The sequence below is a fragment of the Homo sapiens genome, chromosome 10 (assembly GCF_000001405.40).
Source record: "Homo sapiens chromosome 10, GRCh38.p14 Primary Assembly".
Classification (NCBI taxonomy): Eukaryota; Metazoa; Chordata; class Mammalia; order Primates; family Hominidae; genus Homo; species Homo sapiens.
In genome coordinates, this window is record NC_000010.11 from 95,424,368 (window position 1) to 95,444,687 (window position 20,320).

Consider the following 20,320-nt stretch of genomic DNA (forward strand, 5'->3'; position numbering starts at 1 on the left):
CTCCAACCCGCAAAAACTGCGTGCGGTCAGCCCTCCATATCCACGGATTCCGCATCTGTTAATTCAACCAACCGTGGATCAAATATTGGGGGAAAAAACACAAAATAAGAAAACAATAATAATACAACATTTAAAAAATACAGAGTAACAACTATTTACATAGCACTTATATTAGGTATTACAAGTAATCTAGAGATTATTTAAAATATACAGGAGATCTGCATAGGTTATGTACAAATACAATGCCATTTTATATAAGGGACTTGAGCATCCTCAGATTTTGGTATCCGTGAAGGTCCTGGAACCAATCACTGGCAGATACTGAGGGACAACTGTAGTTGGGAAAGGTACATACAGGACATGTGTTTTGCTCACATTACTGCAATGTACCGGCTTGTATGACCAGGAGCAAGTTCACTAGCCATGCTAAATTTTACTTTTCTCACCTATAAAATATAAGCCTTACCCCATACTCCTCACAGGGAGTATGATTCTTTGATTCTCTCCAATTGAAGAATTGGAGAATCTTTGAGAATCAAAGATCAGGTACATGAAAATACCTCTGAGTGCACCACACTCCCTGTCGCATCCAGACGGCTCCCTGGCTCAGAGCTCCCCTCACACCTGGCAGGCCCTTAAACACCTGGTGACATGCCATGACAATGGTCCACTTCTTCCCTCACAGCTATCACTTTTACCGTTCCATCTTCTTTACTAAGTTGCTATTTCTAGTCCACCTTTGTCAAATAAGTCTATCAAATTTATTAGATTTATGCATATACTAACGTCAACAGGTTCTGAGTGAAGGGCTATCTAGTGAAGGATGTAAACTTCGTACATGCAATTGGGGACACATTATTTTGCCCACTTTCTGGTTCTCAGTTGGGTTGGTTCTATTCAAGTGACACTAGCAAACAGCTATGTCACGGAAAGCTGAAATGTGAACTGTTCTTCTAAATCTCCAGGTATCATGAAGGGACCATCACTGTGACATCAGATTGCCTAGTTTCAGCCCTGAGTCTCTATCTTGCTAACTGCATATCCTGTGGCAAATGACCTGGCCACGTCTGTGAAATGGAGATAATATCTACCTCTTTTGAATCAAGAGGACTAAATGAAAGTATTTGGCATAAAGCATGTGCTTTGCAAAATCAGAATTCAAAGCATAAGGGGGAAAAAACCATGGAAAAAAATGAGCATTGTTGATCTCTGCCATGTGATAAATAGCTTTAAGAACGTAAGATCCTTAGGGATAGATCCACTTTTTCTTCTCATTCCAAGTCTTTAAAACTGTTCCCCTTCCCCTATCCCAAAAAGGCAGTTCTCAGGACCTCTTAAATGTTCCTCTCTTCCTTGTTAAAGGAGAGCTATATTTCTGACATCTTATCATCCTTCATCTATTACCTCATCTTCTGAACTTGGAAGGTTGGTAGCAGCCCAGGGCCATTTGTGCCTATGTGCAGAAGTATGAAATTTTGCACACATGATCATCCATTATTAACTCCTGATTGAAGAGACTGTCAAAATGCTTCTTTCAATAAATGTTACCTTAGAGCTCCCAAGCTGGGGGGAGTGCCTCGGAAAGTTGGATCCTAGAGAGCTTTTGCAGTCCTGAGAGACCTACCCTTTCTGCAAGCAGCATAATTTACTTTGCCTTATCTTTTCCTCCAGCTGTTCTTTATTTGCAATCTTTTCTGGCCTGTGGCTGTAGCCTCCTGATATTTTATTTTATCTCATCTCATTCTATGCTAATTTCATTTTGACCTGTTTTAAAGCCTTTTGCTGATCAGTCAATTCTTCTTGGCATCTTAGGATAATTTTCACTGAGTGAGTCTTGATGTGTTCTGGTAAGAGTATTTAAGAGGTAGATGACAGGTGTTAATAGTAAGTCTAAGGGTGTTCCAAATCTTATTTGTGTTTATTTTGTATTCACACTGTACAGTAGAGAATTTAACTTTATCCAAAAAGAGGTCTGGCCTTGGCCCTCAGCTTCTGGGATGTAATCTCTGAGCTCTTGGAAAGTCATGCCTGATAGGAGTGACTTTGTTTATCTGGGGCTTTGAGTCACACCAATTATGTGACTTGGGGTGGGGGCTTTGAGCCACCAGGAGCTCAATCGATTACAAAGTTGGACTGGAGATTGAGAACTGCCCTGTGGGCAGTGGATCATGCCTATGTAATGGAGACATGGCAAAAAGGCTGAACACAAAGGCTCAGGTACATTTCCTGGTTGAAAATGCTCTGAGAACACTGTCACACATCACTGCTGGGAAATAATATGTCCTGACTCTCCACGCAGAGTAGGCAACAGAAGCTCCGCATTTGGTACCTTTTCCAGACTCCAGCCTACGTGCATCTTCTCTTGCCTTTTTTAATCTGTATCCTTTCCCTACAATAAACCATAACCCGGAGTGTAGCAGCTTTCAGTAAGTTGTGTGAGTCCCTCCAGCATTGTACCAAACCTGAGAGTGGTTTTGTGAATCCCCTGAACTTGCAGCTGGTGTCAGAAGGGAGGGTGCACTCTTGTGAGGACTTTTCCCTCCAACTTCTCAGTTGGCCCTAATTCTCACACATGTACTCATCAAAAAGACTCTAATTTAATGGAGGTACGGGGTACCTTCAACTGCTTCAATGTTAACCTTCTTATGGTACCTTTTTGCTACTGCCATTCCTGGAGAGCAAATGTGAGAGTCAAAACCAGAGGAAATAATTGGACTGCAGGTCCAAGAATCTTTATGTCCAAAGCTAACTTTGCATTCAAGAATCAGGCAGTAAGGACTGGAGCCAACTGGTACAGAATTAACAAAATATAAGGGCTGAACTGGACCCTGGCATCTAAGTCAGAACACAGGAATTGATATATCAAGCCACAAGATCTTTAGACTATACCAGACAGAAAGCTTTGTATCACACTCACCACCAACTCAGGCTCCCTGTCTGGAGTGAAAACACCCTGACCTGGGACATGATCAAGTCACTCTGAACCAACATGGCCAACGCTCAGACCTGGTGTGGCAATGAGGTCAGGAGGCAGGGATAAGGTGATGAGGTTTCTCCTGGGGGCAGGGAGTCGGTACTAAGATTACTGCCATTCCTTTCAGATGGTTCTGATCCAAAAACCAAGGTCCACATTCAGAGATGAGGAGGCTGATCGGGAAGCTGTGGTCAGGGATCTTGAGTTAAGCCACCACTTGAATGGAGGAGTCTGGAGAATGAGTGTTAACTGGGCAATTTCAAGGGCTCTCTCTGTCACTCCACCGAGAATGTCTCCATTCTCTCAAAGTTCATGTGGATGCAGATGGCTTCCAAATCCACACATTGGACTCCAAATTTCCAAATTCCCATTAGAAACATTCTCCTGGAAGTCCTTCCCTTGCCAAGAAACTTGACATGTCAAAAGATGGAATTCAACATTCTTTCCAGCACTCTTCACAAATCCCCCCAACTCCATGAGTGCCACAATTACTCTCCTAGCCAACCAGGGAAGGCATCTCCTGGGCCACATGGAGTCTTACCTCTCTGTGGTCCTTAAATACACCACAAGGAGCCCTGGTCATTTCATTCTCCAAAAGACACTTTGACCTCAGCCTCTGCTCTTCACTCCCATTGCCACCATGCTAGGGGTGAGGCCCTCATGGCTTCAAACTGAAATTCTTTCAAATCTTTAACAAGCCTCTTGACCTGCAGGAACTAGAATGGTTACTCTTAAAAAGCACTTGCTTTGGGCCTGTGCCAAATGCTTGACATGAAAGAGCTCATTTAGCTGGGTGTGGTGGCTCATGCCTGTAATCCCAGCACTTTGGGAGGCCAAGGCGGGTGGATCATGAGGTCAGGAGTTCAAGACCAGCCTGGCCAACACAGTGAAACCTGGTCTCTACTAAAAATACAAAAAAAATTAGCCGAATGTGGTGGCAGACACCTATAGTCCCAGCTACTTGGGAGGCTGAGGCAAGAGAATTGCTTGAACTCAGGAGGCAGAGGTTGCAGCGAGCCGAGATCATACCACTGTACTCCAGCCTGGGTGACAGAGTGAGACTCCATCTCAAAAAAAAAAAAAAAAAAAAAGAAGAAGAAGAAAGAGCTCATTTAATCTCAACAACTCTGTTATGGTCATCTCCAATTTACAAATAAGGCAACTGAAGCCCTGTAAGGTGGAGTAATTTGTCCATACCGCAAAGACAGTAAGTGGCAGTGCTCAGCCTCAGTAGAGAACTGTGTGAAACCAGAACTATATCATCTCTCCCAGGTGAGGGGGTTGGGACAAGGACTAGAAATAGGGGGCACTGCTGAAATGTGGGTATCAGGGGACCAGGTAGGGACTGGACCTTCCAGTCCAGGCAAATAATCAACAACCTGGACACCTATAGGCATTGAAGAAGGTGGCAAACAGGGAGCAAGTCAGAGAGGAAGCAGGCAGAGCAGCTGGGGGACAAATGCTGTCCCTGGTGAGAAGGGAGGGAGCCAGACGCCATCTGACATTAGCTATCTGCAAAGGCATTGGGAGTAGGAAGCAATCCTTGGCAAGAGCCATCCACTACCTCACACTTGGGCTCCCAGTCCAGACTGGGCTTGGCTGTCTGCAAATACTGCTGAAAACTGTTTTTATGAAGCCAGGGAAGGCCCAGGGGCTCCTAGGCCCCAGGATAGGACAATAGACTGGTATGGGCCAGCAAGTTGTCAGTCCGGAGGGTGACATGGACACTGTCAGAGTCAAGAGCCAGCAGGATGTTAGCCAATAGGTAGCATGGTAAGGGGACAAGATTACCATTTCTGAATTACCTATACTCACATCCTCATTTTTTTTTTCTTTTTGAGATGGAATCTTGCTCTGTCTTCCATGCTGGAATGCAGTGGCATGATCTCACTCACTGCAACTTTCACCTCCCGGGTTCAAGCAATTCTCCTGCCTCAGCCTCCCGAGTAGCTGGGATTACAGGCGTGCAACACCATGCTTGGCTGATTTTTGTATTTTTAGTAGAGACGGGGTTTCACCATGTTGGCCAGGCTGGTCTCGAACTTCTGGCCCCAACTGATCTGCCCACCTCGGCCTCCCAAAGCGCTGGGATTACAGGTGTGAGCCACTGCGCCCGGCTTACTGACATCCTCTTTTAAGCCCACTCCCCAGTGTTAACTTATTCTAGTCTGCGTTGTATACTTAATGAGCACGTGGATTTTTTCTTTGTTTCCTCTACTCAAACCCAGCTTGTTCCTTTTCATCCAAACTGCCCTCCTGTACCATCTTAAATTTATCACCAATCAAAGGGATTCCATTTGTTAGGCTAATTTCCAAACTTCCTAAGGTCGCAGAGCATTCTGGAGCTAGAAAGGCTTGGAAAGCATCTGGCCCAAGTTCCTCATACTTGATATGGGCTCAAAGTCACTAGGACTTACCCACAGCCCGAAAGGAAGATGGCTGACTACAAGTCCACACCTGACTCCTGTTGCAACATACTGCCTTTTGCCCTCACCTAATGCACCTAGAATTGCTCTCTTTTCCTCCTTTCTCATCACAATTCCAAGTGACTCATGCAGCACCTGGCACATAGATAATGCTGAATGAATGTATGCTTATTTGGATTCGATGATCTCAATTTACAAAGATGAACTTACTGTAAGGTGTGAATGACTGATAACTATCCCTTAATTCTTCCGAGTACAGTATTTGCATTTTAAAACAATCTGCTGATGGTTTGGTGAAAAAGATGTGGTGAAATTTCTTTTCACCAAATTAGCTGGTAGAAATTTGTAAGACACAAAAGTATTCTGGGACAAGAGAGTGTTTCCAAAAGTGCCTCAAATCCACACACGGGGCCGGGCATGGTGGCTTACACCTGTAATCCCAGCACTTTGCCAGGCCGAGGCAGGTGGATCACTTGAGCCTACAAGTTCAACATCAACCTGGGCAACATGGAGAAACTTTGTCTCTACAAAAAATACAAAAATTAGCCAAGTGTGGTGACGTGCACCTCAGCTACTTGGGAGGCTGAGGTGGGAGGACAGATTGAGCCCGGGAGGCCGAGGCTGCAGCAAACCATGATTACATCACTGTACTCCAAGCTGGGCAACAGAGTAAACCCTGTCTCAAAAAAAGAAAACGAAACAGAAAAAAAAACAAATCCACACACGGTACTGGTAGCACAGGCGTACACCTGGTGGGCATTGTGTTCTACGTCAATGCCACACTGTAACCACTAGAGGGAGCTCCAAGCTCCCTCTCCACCACCTCCATTTGCTGCCAGAGGACGGGACAGTTGGTTTGTAAGGTTATTTGACTGGGCCAGGGGACTGCACATTAAAGCCTTTCTCTTTGCATCATCCCTTAGGATTCTCTCTTCTCCAAATGCTCTCTAGCTTGGAAGTGGGTCGTCCCAGTTAGGCTTGGAGAGGCTGGATGAGGTTAGCCTTAGAATAAAATAACTTTGCCTTCTCTCCTCACCCCCACCTTTCCAGCGGGTCAGGAGTCAGGGCTGGGCTCAGGGATGCAGGACCAAGAAGCTACTCTGTTGACTTTTAGGGCTGTGGGCTGCTCGGGCCTGCCCTCAGCCTAAGGACAAAGAAGCCCTCACGGGGACCAACATCACCAGAAAGGGGTTTGTGCTCAAACCCTAGCCTGGCCTCATCCACCAGCATGTGCCCTGGCACCTGTTATGGGTAGCTGGGAAGGAAGAAAATCAGTTTCCAGGATGCTAGGTCTGGCCATTTCCATCCTACATATCATATCTGTCTTATCACAACACACCACTCCCGCTGCACCAGAGGGGTCTGCATACCCTACTGCCTAGCCTCTCTGGTCCCAAGGGAATGGTCCTCCCCTCCATTCCATTTCTCCCTCCCTTTCCTTCAAGAAAGCAAGCTCCCATCCCCTACAGCAGCAGCTCTCAGATGCAGTCCTTGCACTAGCAGCATCAGCATGAACCTGTCAGAAATGTGAACCTTCAGACCCTACCTCAGACCTGCAAGTGGGAACCCTACATTCTAAAACTCCAGGCTGGGGCCCAGCAACCTACCTTTTTACTCCAAGTGATTCTGATGCAGCTAAAGTGTGAAAGTCACTGCCCTACAGAGTGGAGAGGTGCTGTCTCACCCTAAACTAACTGTGCCTGATCTCAAAGTCAGCATTTGCCAACTACCAGAATACTTGGGCTGTGCAAAGTCGTCCCTGGAGAGGCCAAAATAATCTAATCATAATCAAATAGCAGCTAACATCTAACAGTCTATTCCATGCCACCAGGCATGATACACAGCACTTCATACACTTCTTCCTCACAATAATCCTGAGGCAGATGCAATTATCAACCCCATTCTACAGTTCATCAGGGTTGAGAGACAGTGAATAACTCGACCAAAGTTGCACAGCTGACAGGTGGTGGGGACAGGGTGTGCACAGAGATCTACCCGGTTCTGAAGTCCCAGTTCTAAACCTCAATACCTCAGGTTTCCCAAGTGATGGGTTAAGGTGGGGAGATGGGCTTCATGTGGCTTCTTTGATCTCCCTTTGCTCCTAGTTTACACTGGGCCTTTGAGCTACTTTCCTGATCCTGCTCCCGCAGCTGGCTAGTGGCCAATCCCAGGCCTGAGCCCTCCCCACCTCTGCTTTTCCAGGAGCAAGATCATTGAGTCATCCACACTTCTCAGTCTCCCCTGGCTGCACCTCCAGCCCAGCCTGGACAGGTCACAGTGAACCTCTAGGAAGCAGGGATGAGCTCTGAGAAGCCCAACCTCTAGCCCATCGCACCGCTTACTTACCCCCCATGCCCTAAGCTATTTCAGTCTGCATGAGAGCAGTCTGCAGAGCACTGGCTGTGGTCACAGGATGACCTGCTCAGTCAAAGCTAACATAAAGTGTGGTTATTGCTGTGCCTTCATCTGCAGCATGTGACTGTCAGTTTGAGGCTTTGACCACTACCCATCCAAATGATTTGACTGTCCCAGGGGACCGTAAGAGACACACACACACACACACACACCCCCCCCCCCCAAGAGGTATCTGATGAACTCACACCCTCCTGAGCAAAAACACCAGAGCCTCCTCCCGCCCTTCCCACGTGGCTTTGAACAGCTTTCCCTAGCTTCCGCGCACCTGGTTTGCTTTCGTGTTGCCGGGTTTCCTGAGGGCTCGCAGGGCTACTGCTTGGGGTTTCCCTGTAGGAAGACGAGGCCCGGAGAGTCACCGCTCCCTTCCCAGTGCAGATTTTTGTAAGATCCATGTCTGAAAAGAAAAGGTCCAAAATTGAAGACTGAATCCAAGACTCCTGAAGGATTAAAGGACAGTTGGTTAGCAAATTGTTACAGCCGGGGAATGAGATGAACCTGGTTACAGCCATGCGAAGTCTTTGAACACCTGTGGTCAATGAAATTAATCTGTGGGTGGTGGAGAGGGGCAAGTTTTCAGAGGTTTACTGTGCATCATGAAGTTAGGGGAACATGGCGGCAATGGTGAGTTCTGAGTAAATGGATGAGTTATACTATCAGCTGAAAACATTTCAAAATGAAAGCAGGTTTATTCCTTTTATTAAATGAAGTTTAGGTTGATGAGCAGACTTCTGACCAGTTAGTAAGGCACAGTTCAAGAAAGAGTTTATGAAAGATGTTTCAAGCTTCCAGACCATACTTCTCATTGAAGACCAGGCTGGCAACTACGGAAGTGGGGGCGGTGGGGGGGGTGGGGGCGGGTGGTCCCATGGAGAACAACTACCCCTTTGCAGTTTTCCAGTGGGAAAAGGAAAAGCAAATCTCCTTGGATCAGCAAGTCAAGACTCCCAAAATGCTGAGACAGAAGGATATGCTGCCTGGCGAGAAAGCTCACGAGTGACAGTCTCACTTTCCAAACATAACAAAGAAAACTCACAGCAACAAAAACGACTCAGAAGGCTAAATCCTTCAATGAGCAGTGTCCACCGAGCCTCAGCTGTCTTCACAGGGTCCTGGCGTCTCCTACAGTTTCACTAGGGCCTAATAACAGACCCAGGTCAACTTTTAGAGTTTCCTTGAGAAAGATTTCAAAATACGCTTCAAAAGATCTGAATGCCATCCTGCAGGAAATCAGTCACGGAGGCAGGGAACCAGGGCAGACCACACAGTTCTGGGAGGCACACGCAGAGTGTTTCTTTATGTGCAGCTGAGCTATGCAGAACGCCACAGTTTTGTTTTGTTTTCAAATTGCTCACAGCCTAGATCCCTGACCTAAAATTGTCACAGTTAGGATTACAGGTTGACATTCAGGGTGTGTGTCTGGGCAGGATGTGAGTTCAAACATCCAGCTCATCCCCATTCCCCTCCGAGGGCAGAGAGAAGCAAAGCCTCTTCTTTCCTTTCCTTCCACGCCAGCAGCCCCCTGCCAACAACTCAGGGAGAATGATCATTAGCGTTAGACAAGAGAATGGACCTGCCTCGTCAGCACCTCTTGTATTGAACGCAATGCACGAAACGCACAATGTGTCAGGGCAAGCATCAGCCTTGGAGAGCATCTGACTTATCCAACTCTATCAAGAGGCTAAGCGACTGATGTCACCAAACTATTGGGAAAACTGGTTCATAGTCACTTCAAAAGGATGAGAGGCACACTGATGGATGCAGCCCATCCATAGGTTCCTGGACACACAGCCCAGTTACTTCTGAAAGCGCCATTGGATAAAGTACTGTGTAGGCCTCATGTGTCCCCACTTTGTACAGAAGGAAGCGATGAGCCAGAGCTGACATCTGAACTGTACTCCCCCACCCTCTGGAGGGGAGAGGCAGGAAGTGGCTGCAGGTAAAACTGGGGAAGGCAAAGGGGATGCTCTGGGATGGCCCGGTGAGCATCAGAGGCGAATCTAGGTTGGGCACCTAAGGGCAGCTGCTTCAAATTCAGCTAAGTTCAGAGGTTCTCTGTGAGACCAGGTTAATTCTCAGGGAGACTGCAGTTTTTGCTAAAGTACTGGGGGCTGGAAACCTCTAGGGAGAGCCTAGGATGTCCATGCACCGCAGACCCATCCCAAAGGGAAAGCTGAGCCTCTGGACTGACCCTTCTCCTAAAGAAAAGAGGGGCAAGGCCTCTGTCCTCAGTTCCTCCCCACATTCGCTGGCTCTCAGGAAAACGCACACAGACATTCACATACACAGAGGAAGTAAGGAAGCAAGCTGAGGAAGTGAGACGGAATGCCTCCTAAACATGCAACGATTCAGCTCAAAGTGCGTGTTAGAAGAAAAGAAGAAAGGAAAACCATGCCATGATCCGCTCACAGTTAGAGAAAATCGACCGACCCAAGGAGATACCTGTAGGGAGAACTAGGCCTGAGGCGTTTTTCACTGTCTTCACAGGAATGATTTTAACAGCAGAAATAGAGCGTGCGCGTAAAGGGTCGGCAGTTGCTGAAAACACAAAAGGGTAAATGGTGCATCCAGAAAGAACATTTGGGAAACACTCAGGCAGTTGAGGAACTGGGCAGGGACAATAGGAGGAAGTCGCCCACACAACAAGAACAATACAAAGGGCAGTAGATGCAGTAATTAAAAATAACCTGCTTTCTCTCTTTAGAGTTCTAGGCCAAGACAACAGACCCCTCCCCTCTAACTATCACCCAAATACAGCTGGTCAGTGTTGACCGGTGCCTCCTACCACACCAGGAGCTTGCCAAAGCTCTGGACAAAGATTTACAGAGGCACACAGATGGCCTGGCAAACAGAAGAAGGGGAGAGCACTCAGGGTCCACAGGGCCTCTTGGGAGAAGGCTGGGGAGTGGGTTCCGAGGAGGAGGGCTGTGGCCCATGGGCTCCAGATGAGTGGAAGAACGAAGGAACAAGATCGTGAGTTGTCTGGTCCCTTCAGCCATCAGAGCTACTTCCCCCATAGCATAACTTCCGGGGTCTTGTGCCTGCTCCGATAATTGTAGCCCTCTGGCCCCAAGCAAATCAAAGCCCCCATCTGTTAAACGGCAGATGGCCTTGCTCAAACCCACCCTTTCCTGGTCAGGAGGTGCCAAGTGTCCAAGTGCATATGTAGTCTCTGGGCAGCACCCAAGTGCACAGCCCAGGACCCCAATGCCCAGCTGAGCTAAGGCAGAGCAGGAATGCCTGCCTGGGACGTGGTGAAGGCTACCGCTCGAACATCCTGGGTGCTCAAACTTATCTATCTGCAGGGTCTCTGGGCTCCCTGCCTGCCCAGATTCTGTAATCTCATGGTAGGCACGTTCCCTAACTCTCCTCACACCGAGCCTGTTGTGAGGCCTCCCCTCGTCCTCTCTTTCAAGGGCAGCACATAAAGAGGGATGGGAGCTCTGTGTGAAGGTGCCAGAGTCGACTGTGGCCACAGATCTACAGAAACACAGCGGGTAGGGCTGTCTGGGAACAAGACCGCCACTGCAAAGTCAGCATCGTGCTGGTGAGCCTGTCAAGGCAACAGAAGGGAGGCATGTCGGCCAGAGACAGTGCACCTTCCAGTCCATCCCGCTGTCAGCTCACCTCATAAGGCATGGGGCAGTCACACGGCGCCTGGCCATCAATGACTAGGTTGCCAATGACGCTGCTGCATGGATTAAGACACAAATGTGCTCTCACAGCATCCTCCTGTCTGCTCCACCTGGGAGATGGGCTTGGGGGAGACTTTTGTAACCATTTTCAGAGGAAGAAGCAAGAGGCTCAGTGAACTGCTCAGGCTCATTCAGTTCTCAAGCGGAGAGGCTGAGACTGGAGCTCAGCTATCCCAGCTCTGGTTCAGTGACCTCAGGCCACCCTGATGCCCTTCAGTCACTCCTGCCTGCTTGTTTGCAGACAAAGGTGAGTCTCACCAAGGAGAGAGTGGGACTCACTCCACCTGCCACCCTCCCCCACACGCCTTAAGTCTCTTGTATAAATGAGTTCACATGGATGGGGTCCATGACCCCACAGGCTTTAAACTAATAGGGCCCCCACCCCTCCCCATGCTCCTCACTGGATGCTAAACACATGCCTACAGCCACTCCACAGGCACTGCCCCTCAGAGTTCCCTAAGTGCAACTTGGTCGAGACTGTCCAGGGCCCCACACCGTGGGTGCAGAGGGGCGACCAGGCAGGGAGGCAAGAACAGGAGCATGGCAGGTCCCCTCTGGCCACCAAGGAACCCACCCCCACACCACCTGGGCCCTGTACCCCAGCCCCTCCTAGTCTCTGGACATACCCTCTACGGCTGGTTCCTTTCACACTTTGCCTTGTCTTAAAAGGAACACTTTGTTGACCCAGATGGAAATTACAAAGATCAAAATGCCAAATTGTTTGGAATTATTCTTTGAGATGCATCTTGACTTAAATGCCCAATGCAAGGATTCTGGCCCTTCCTCTTGGTTACCAGAAAATTTACTGGGATGAGCGTTCATTCCAATTCTGAATTTGAAGCAGAAATAAATACGGCAGATCATAAATTCCCTCATCTTATAGATAAGGGAACCCACACCCACAAAGATAAAGGGCCTCTCAAGATGTCCTGTTCATGAGTGGCAGAGCTGGGACTTGAACCCATGCCTTGTCACTCCAGCTTCAGCATCCATCACACAACACAATAAAAGTGGCACCGCGAGCCCCGTAGCCAGGCTATCTGTGCAGCCACACTGAGGTCAGGATGAAAGTCTCCAGGCTAAGCAGGACCTCAAAGGTCATCGCATCCATCATTCATTTCACATTTAAATCTTTTATCCTAAAAATTTTAAAAACTGAAACTATGAGAGGATGTGCATTAAATTAATGCCACTGAAATAATTTATTTTAATGATTTAGGCTCTTGCCTTAGGGACAGGACTGTGAACACATCACTGTTTATTACAGGTGAAGGTAAAAGGCTGAGCAAGGGATATTTCAGGCTGATAAATGCCATCTGTACCAGGCATGAAATACGCCTTGGTCCTCGTATCTGATCTGTCATTCACAGCATCCTTGTGAGCTAGGGAAAGTTTTTAATACCTCACAGTGGGAAAATGGCAGCCTCAGACTCCCGAAATGCAACAACAGGCTCCAGGTCTCAGAAAATCAGTGTAGGGAACAGGTCACCAGTTTATGGCTTGGTTAGGCCAATGATGTTTGCACCAGGCAGATGGGATGGCCCCGGCCTGACATACTCCGCACCTTTAGAAATGCCTTCCAGTACCAATCCAGATTTCTCTCCAAGAACCTTACCTTTGTCTTGCCCATTGCTGCCAGGTGCCAAGCCATTCATCACAGCTTTGGAACCACCATCACATTCTGCAAGAAAGAAAGAGAGCATGAGGTTTGTGAGTAAGCTGCCCCAGCACTTACTGAGTCCTGTGTGGCAGGAGGTGCTGGGGTCACAATCAGGAGGAAGCAGAGGGGTCCTGCCCAGATACTTTCAGACCTCTAGGCCTTGGTTCCTATGAGGCCCTCTGCCGAGAATGCCTCCTCCTCCCTTCTCACCTGATGGAAATTCCACGCATCCCTGGAGCTCCCCTCGGATGTCATGTCCTCTGTGTTGGCTGAGACTTTCCTGAGTTCTGCTCAGTTACAGAAGCTAAGATCCTCCCTGCTCCCCTGTAGCCTAAGCCCCGCCCAGGTCCCCATCCCAAAATAGATAAAGGCACGCCAAGGAAGGAAGGCCGGCAGGCCCTGTCGCCCTGGGACATGTGTGCTTGGAGGAACCCCTCCAAGCCCAGAGTTAACCAAGCTACAAACATAATCATGACTAGCTATGGGTTTTTAAACACTGACTTGCCTGGTGTGAGGATCCATGCTTAGCATTCCATAATTAGCACCTCATTTTATCCTGAAGACCCAGACCTCCAGAACTAGGAGTTAGGAATGCCTATTTTATAGATAAGAAAACTGAGGCAGAGAGGATTCCAGGCCTGCCCAAGATCACTAGGCTGAAATTTGAACTCTGGTCTGCCCATCTCACAGCTCATCTTCTTCCTCCCCAAATGGGATAAACATTTGGGTTTCCTGATACATATATATATTCTATTTCTCCAAATGCTGGGACTGAAGCTTAGTCCCACACCCCTGTAATTCATTAGGCTGAGACTAAGTCACCTTACCTAGGCCCTTAACAATCAGCCTTCCAAAAGGGGGGTCGCCTGCTATAAACCACACTGACAGGCCAGTCTGGATGCTGCCTGTGGGCCACACATGAGCAGGGCCACTGCCCCACCTGGTGCCTGGGCTTCCGCATGCTGGCCCCACAGGCTGTGACCTGTTAATTGCCCACACCCACCTATAGGTGAAGGCTAATTCTCCTAGATGTCTGAGTCTCCCTTGAGCTCTGATTTCTGAGATGGGTGGAAGAAGGGTGCTGGTGAGAAGGCCAGAAATCCAAGTACCTGCTCTAGTTCCTTCTGTGACTGTAGGCCTTGCTCCAGGCCTCCCCAGGCTAGTGTGGGGCAGCCTCTGAGCTACCAGCAGGCCCAGCCCCATGTTCTTCCTTTCTTTTAATTAAATGTAACAACCAAACTTGAAGAAATTTTGGAAAGGTATTTAAAAATTAGTAACTCCATCTCCTGAAACTCAAACCTCTGCAGCACAATGTTGCTGTCCAGCTTCCTGAGTTTGATTCAGCAACAGTACACACTAGCTGAGTGATCCCAGCCATATTATTAACCCCTCAGGGCCTCAGTTTTTCCATCTGTGTAATGAGGGTGGCAAACCACGCCCCACCTGTGAGGGTTTTCCAGGAGAATGTAACAATATCACACAGGTAAAGCACTTCCCCCAGTGACTGGTAGCCCAGCCCAAACTTGGAATTAAAAGAATCCACCATTTTTACACTGCTCTTTCCACCAGTGATTAAAACAAATATTTCCCATGTAGCTGCTTTTCTCCTAATGACCATTTTAACAGCGGCATAATATTCCATCAAGTAAATACACATAACGTACTTACTCATACCCCCCCTTCATGTAGGTGATATTTTTGTTTCCTTGGAATTAAGATAGAAATTCCCAAGAGTGGGATCATCAGGTCAAAGGCTCCAGAATTTCTGAACTCTTCCTAGGCAACGCCTCCTTCCAACCCCCCACCTGAGAGAGAGATTCTGGGGAGCAGTCTCCTGGGCTTTTCCACACCCATACCCTTCTTCCAGGCCCCTCCCTTCCTCCTTCTCTGGCCCTTGATGCCAAGAGTAGTAAAGCAAAGTGAGGCCAGTTCTGCCACTGGACGAGAAAGTAGCTTTAGGCTACAGAGAAAAAGTTAAAAACAAAATAAAGCAAAACATCATGGCCTATTTTAAATGACAACAAAAGCAAAAAGCCAAGGAGACAACAAAAAATGAGTTACGAAGCAGGAGCTACTGGCAGTACCCGAGCCTGCTTAGAGGGGAAAAGGTGCACGGCCTCTTCGCACACAGCAAAAGCACTCAAGGAATTGCTGAGAAGCCAAGTCCCTGGCTTTGCAGGGAGGAACTCAGCTCATAACAGTAAGAGCCCAAAGATGAAGCACTTGCTATGCCTTGGACACAGAGCTCAGCACTTTAAAAGCACTGCCTTAGGCTAGCTAGGCACGGTGGCGGAGAGGGGCGGATCACCTGAGGTCAGGAGTTCGAGACCTGGTCAACATGGTCAACATGGTGAAACCCCGTCTCTATTAAAAATACAAAAATATTAGCCAGGCGTGGTGATGGGCACCTGTAATCTCAGCTACTCGGGAGGCTGAGGCAGGAGAATCACTTGAACTCAGGAGGCAGAGATTGGAGTGAGCCAAGATCACGCCACTGCACTCTAGCTTGGGTGACAGATCGAGACTCTGTCTCAAAAATAAATAAATAAAAGCATTGCCTCACTTAATCCTCACTAAATCCCAATGAACTGGTGTTTTTATTATGTCCATTTTGCAGAGGAGAAGGGTCCACCACAGGCCCAAGGCTATGCAGCCAGTAAACACTGAGGTCAGGGTGTGGGCCTCAGCTATTCCAGCCCAGAGCCTTCCTAGGTCTGAACTACATACTGTCCTACTCAGAACTTGCCTAAAACGGCATTGTATGCAAATAAATGGAAAAGGGTGATTTTTAATCCACAGAGGTCACTGACAACACTCACGAAATACGGCAGGATTGGGAGACTCCGGAATGAGATATCCACATGATCATCTTCCCACCCCACAGCCTGCCCCACCTGCAGGTCTCAGGAGGGTCCAGGGCATGCTCAGTAGCCTAGGTGGGGCTGAATCTCCAGATGGAAACTTCTCTGCTCCAATTCTGGGTTGGAAAGCTGACAGCTCTTAGCTGCATGATGAGCAGGGATCTGTTCCCATCTCTGTCTTCCCTAACCCACGTTTTCTACCTCAGCTCAAAACTAAAAATACTCAAAACTGATTATTTCTTTAGGTCTTGACTTTTACTACCAAAGGCAAAGCAAAAGAGGGAGCAAACTACTCTACTAGCCTAGATGAAGGAAGCATTAGATTAGTTCACATCCTTGGGCAATTATGGCCAATCAGTTTACTTTTGCTGCAGTCACCCAGATTAAGAAATGCCATGAAGGTGTAACACATATGTCAAATTTTATCAAATTGTATACTAAAAATATCTGTGGTTTATAGTATGCCAGTTACATCTCAATAAAGAGAGGGCTAATGTGCATGTAAAGTGTATAGCACAGTTCTTTGGCAATAGTAGTAGGCACTCAAAAAATCATTAACCATGAAGGTGATGAGAGTGATGATGACAACTTATGACAAAGCTTTGGCATTCACCCAGGTGGCAAAAAATAAAAAATAAAATGCCAGAGTGGGGCCTTCAGGGTGCGTGGGAAATCTGGGTAAACTGCCCAGTTTGGTAGATAAGAGAAAGATGAGTTTAAAATGACTTACCAGAACTCATGGTGGTGGCAGGACAAGTCGTCTGCAACTGGGGCTCTGAACTGCTCTGTAGAAAAACAAACACCACACAATGCAATTGATGAATGGCAGGTTCGCGATAAATCCCAATGGTTAGTATTAAAAATGCAAACACTGTAACCCTTGATAAAACAGAGCTGAACCAGGAGTCACCTGGCCAGGCTTCTGGTTTGTGGTCACCCACATATTATTGTGACCTTGGGCACATCACTCAACCTCACTGGTTTCAGTTTTGTTGCCCATATTTGGTGCTGATGTTATCCGACATCCCTTTCAAACATTCTATTAAAAACCTCAAGCTACACGAGTGCACGTGGTTTAAAGAGAGGGTAAAGGAAAGGGGAAAAAACACATTTTAGGAGAAAGAGGTAAAATCACAACACAAACTGATTTGAGAACTTACTGATCATACTGAATGCTTATATATAGCTTACTATGCACAAGGAAATGTTCTAAATGCTTTGAATATATTAACGCATTTGACCCTCACAACCCTAGGAGGTAACCACTAATGTCAGGTTAGTTACACAGATGAGGAAACCGAGACACAGACAGGTGAAGCTGTGTGCTTGCTGCAGTGGAGGAGCTGATACTGGAACCCAGACAGCCTGACTTTCTGGCCCAAGTTCCTATGCACTGTGCTCTACCACCTGGAGGTGGGAACCAATCCCTGATGTTCAAATGGATAACCCCTTAATTTAGTAGGGTCTCAAAGAAAGCTGAAATTATACTGACAATGCCCTAATATATATCCAGATCTTTTATTGAGTTATAGTTTGCATATAACCAAAAATATCCATTTTAATTGTACAATTCGATGAGTTTTGACAAATATATACATCCTATAACCACCACCGCAATCACAATATACAGCCTTTCCATCACCCCAAAAAGTTCCCATGTGTATCTCTACAGCCAAGTACCATCTCAGGTCCCTGTTAACGACTGATCTGCTTTCTGTTACTATTGTTTTACCTTTTCCAGGATTTTATATAAATGGTATCATAGTACAGGTAATCCTTTGTGTCTGGCTTCTCTCGTTTAGCATAACACTTCTGAAAAGCAACTGGTTAGATATGGCTGGGTCAATTTCTGGACTCTTTTCTGTTTCAGTGAGCTGTCTTTATCTGATAACTCACTGTCTTGATTACTGTAGTTTTACATAGCCTTGAAATCAGGTAATATGAGTGATAGAGTTTAGATATTTGTCCCTGCCCAAATCTCACATTAAAATGCAATCCCCGATGTTGGAGGTGGGCGTGGTGGGAGGTGTTTGGATCATGGGGGTGGATATCTCATGGCCTGGTGCTATCTCTGCAATAGCGAGTTCTCACAAGACCTGGTCATTTAAAAGTATGTGGCACCCCCCCCCCGCACCCTTACTTATGCTCTTGTCGTGTGACACGCCTGCTCCCCCTTCGCCTTCCACCATGATGGGAAGCTTCCTGAGGCTCCCCAGAAGCCAAGCAGATGCTTCCTGTACAGTTAGCTTACAGAACTGTGAGCCAATTAAACCCCTTTTCTTTATAAATGACCCAGTCTCTGGTATTTCTTTATAGCTGTGCAAGAATGGCCTAATACAGTGAGTCTTCCAACTTGAGTTTTTTTCCAAAATCATTTTGGCTATTTTAGATCCTTTGCATTTTCATATAAAGTTTAAAACCACCTTAACAATTTCTACCTAAAAAAGTCTGTTGAGATTTTGACTGGAATCATGTTGAATCTATAGATCAATCTGTGGAAAACTAACATTTTTAACAATATTGAGTCTTCCAGTTCATGAGTATGACCTATCTCTCCCTTTTTCCAGGACTTCTTTAATTTCTCTTGGTAATGTTTTATAGTTTTTTCAAAGTACAAGTCTTGTACATACCTCGACTAATAAGGTCTTACTGAACACATCTGAAGGTCACACAATCTGAAAAACAAGTCCTCGGGATATGTAGAACCTTGATATTTCAAGTGTGGTCCACAGGCCAGCAGCATTCACATTAGCTGGGAGCTTACTGAAAACGTAGAAGCGGCCGGGTGTGGTGAGTCACACCTGTAATTCCAGCACTTTGGAAGGCCAAGATGGGCGGATCACCTGAGGTCAGGAGTTTGAGACCACCCTGGCCAACATGGTGAAACCCTGTCTCTACTAAAATACAAAAAGCAGCCGGGTGTGGTGGTGGGTGCCTGTAATCCTAGCTACTCGGGAGGCTGAGGCAGGAGAATTGCTTGAACCTGGGAGGCAGAAGTTGCAGTGAGCCAAGTTCGTGTGTGCCACTGCACTCCAGCCTGGGTGACAGAGCGAGACTCCAACTCCAAAAAATAAAAGGAAAGAAAATGCAGAAGCTCAGACTCCTGTACCTACTGAATCAGAATGGGCATTTTAACAAAATCCCAGGTGCTCCCTTTGCATTTTAAGGTGTGAGAAGCAATGATACAGAGAAAAACCCCGGTTCACGAATTCTGTAATAGGGATATGAAGATATGGTATGAAGGTCTGCAAAAGGAGACATGCTTTAGCTTTTTCTTTTAAAAAAGCTGAAGTTGGACACTGGTTTCCTTTCTGGATGGTTGCTTTGCCTTACTGTCCTTGTAATTAAGAGAGTAGAATGCTAGGGATGAAGAGGAAATCATTCAAAGTCCATCTCTGCAGCCCAAATCAGCAGGAACTTTGCCTCTGTCACTGTCAAATACATCTGAGACTATCTATGACCTTCAATAGCTGTCCCCACAGATGGTTCTCTAAGCTGTGGAAACATTTGTTCTTTCAATCGAGAAACACACAACCTGCTGTTATCTGTATGTCCTCATGTTTTCCAGTCCTAAGTTTTTGATACCTTAGTTTGCCTCCCAGGATCAAAAGTGTTGTTGTGATAGCATCCAAATGCTTTTATTTTATAAATAATTTTCATGAGCAATTGTATTAAGGTTTTTATTCCTTATTTTTATTTTTATTTTTGTTTTTGTTTTTGAGACAGGGTCTTGCACTATCACCCAGGCTTGAGTGCACTGGTGTGATCACGGCTCACTGCAGCCTCAACCTCCTGGGCTCAAGCGATCCTCCCACCTCAGCCTCCCAAGTAGCTGGGACCAGTCATGCACCACCACACCTGGCTAATTTTTAAAATTTTTATTTTGTGGAGATGGGGTCTCTCTATTGCCCAGGCTGGCCTCAACTCCTGGCCTCAAGCGATCCTCCTGCCTCAGTCTCTGAAAGTGCAGGGATTATAGGTGTGAGCTACTGCACCTGGCCTTTCCTCAATTTTTAAAGCATTATTGAAGAAATCTTTTTGTTTCCACTGTGAAGCTATCTTAACTGAAACTATTTTCATTCTTTTATAAGTTTTTTCTAGCCTTTAGATACATAAATAGCAAGTACATTATTGTAAACATAATATCTGGACAGCTTTGTGTTCTAATTTTTAAATCAAGTATTTCATGAACATTTTTCTGGGATTCTATATAGTCAGCATATCCATCATTTTAATGGCTGTATTTCATTGTAATAACACTCCATAATCCATTTACCAATTCCCTTTGTATA

At 46.6% G+C, this 20,320-nt stretch overlaps 1 protein-coding gene across 79 annotated transcripts in view, besides 3 other annotated features; it reads right to left on the bottom strand.

Annotated features, from left to right (window-relative positions):
• The window catches only part of SORBS1 (sorbin and SH3 domain containing 1), a 249,599-nt gene that overhangs the window by 112,595 nt on the left and 116,684 nt on the right, over window positions 1–20,320 (bottom strand). For 42 of the 79 annotated variants that reach the window (XM_047424478.1, XM_017015537.3, XM_017015532.3 and 39 more), the window contains 4 exons: window positions 16,759–16,813; window positions 13,123–13,188; window positions 10,255–10,350; window positions 8,081–8,209 (listed from right to left, as the gene is read on the bottom strand). In XM_047424478.1, the coding sequence (XP_047280434.1) occupies window positions 8,081–8,209; window positions 10,255–10,350; window positions 13,123–13,188; window positions 16,759–16,768 (301 nt within the window). In that variant the 5' untranslated portion in view covers window positions 16,769–16,813. Of the gene's footprint in view, window positions 1–8,080; window positions 8,210–10,254; window positions 10,351–13,122; window positions 13,189–16,758; window positions 16,814–20,320 lie in introns of those variants that run through there. The other 37 variants (NM_001384455.1, NM_006434.4, NM_001034957.3 and 34 more) reach the window with 1 other exon arrangement.
• Window positions 5,903–5,992: an enhancer, noted in NCBI's record as "active region_3800". NCBI's record gives its function as "activates an Ori minimal core promoter by ATAC-STARR-seq in GM12878 lymphoblastoid cells {active_cell/tissue: GM12878}" and the evidence as "EXISTENCE:reporter gene assay evidence [ECO:0000049][PMID:35858748]".
• Window positions 6,104–6,604: an enhancer, noted in NCBI's record as "H3K27ac hESC enhancer chr10:97190228-97190728 (GRCh37/hg19 assembly coordinates)". NCBI's record gives its function as "activates a minimal SCP1, AML or CMV promoter by ChIP-STARR-seq in naive H9 embryonic stem cells {active_cell/tissue: H9 hESC(naive)}" and the evidence as "EXISTENCE:reporter gene assay evidence [ECO:0000049][PMID:30033119]".
• Window positions 19,305–19,599: a silencer, noted in NCBI's record as "tiled region #10569; K562 Repressive non-DNase unmatched - State 23:Low". NCBI's record gives its function as "represses a minimal TATA promoter and a strong SV40 promoter by Sharpr-MPRA in K562 cells {active_cell/tissue: K562}" and the evidence as "EXISTENCE:reporter gene assay evidence [ECO:0000049][PMID:27701403]".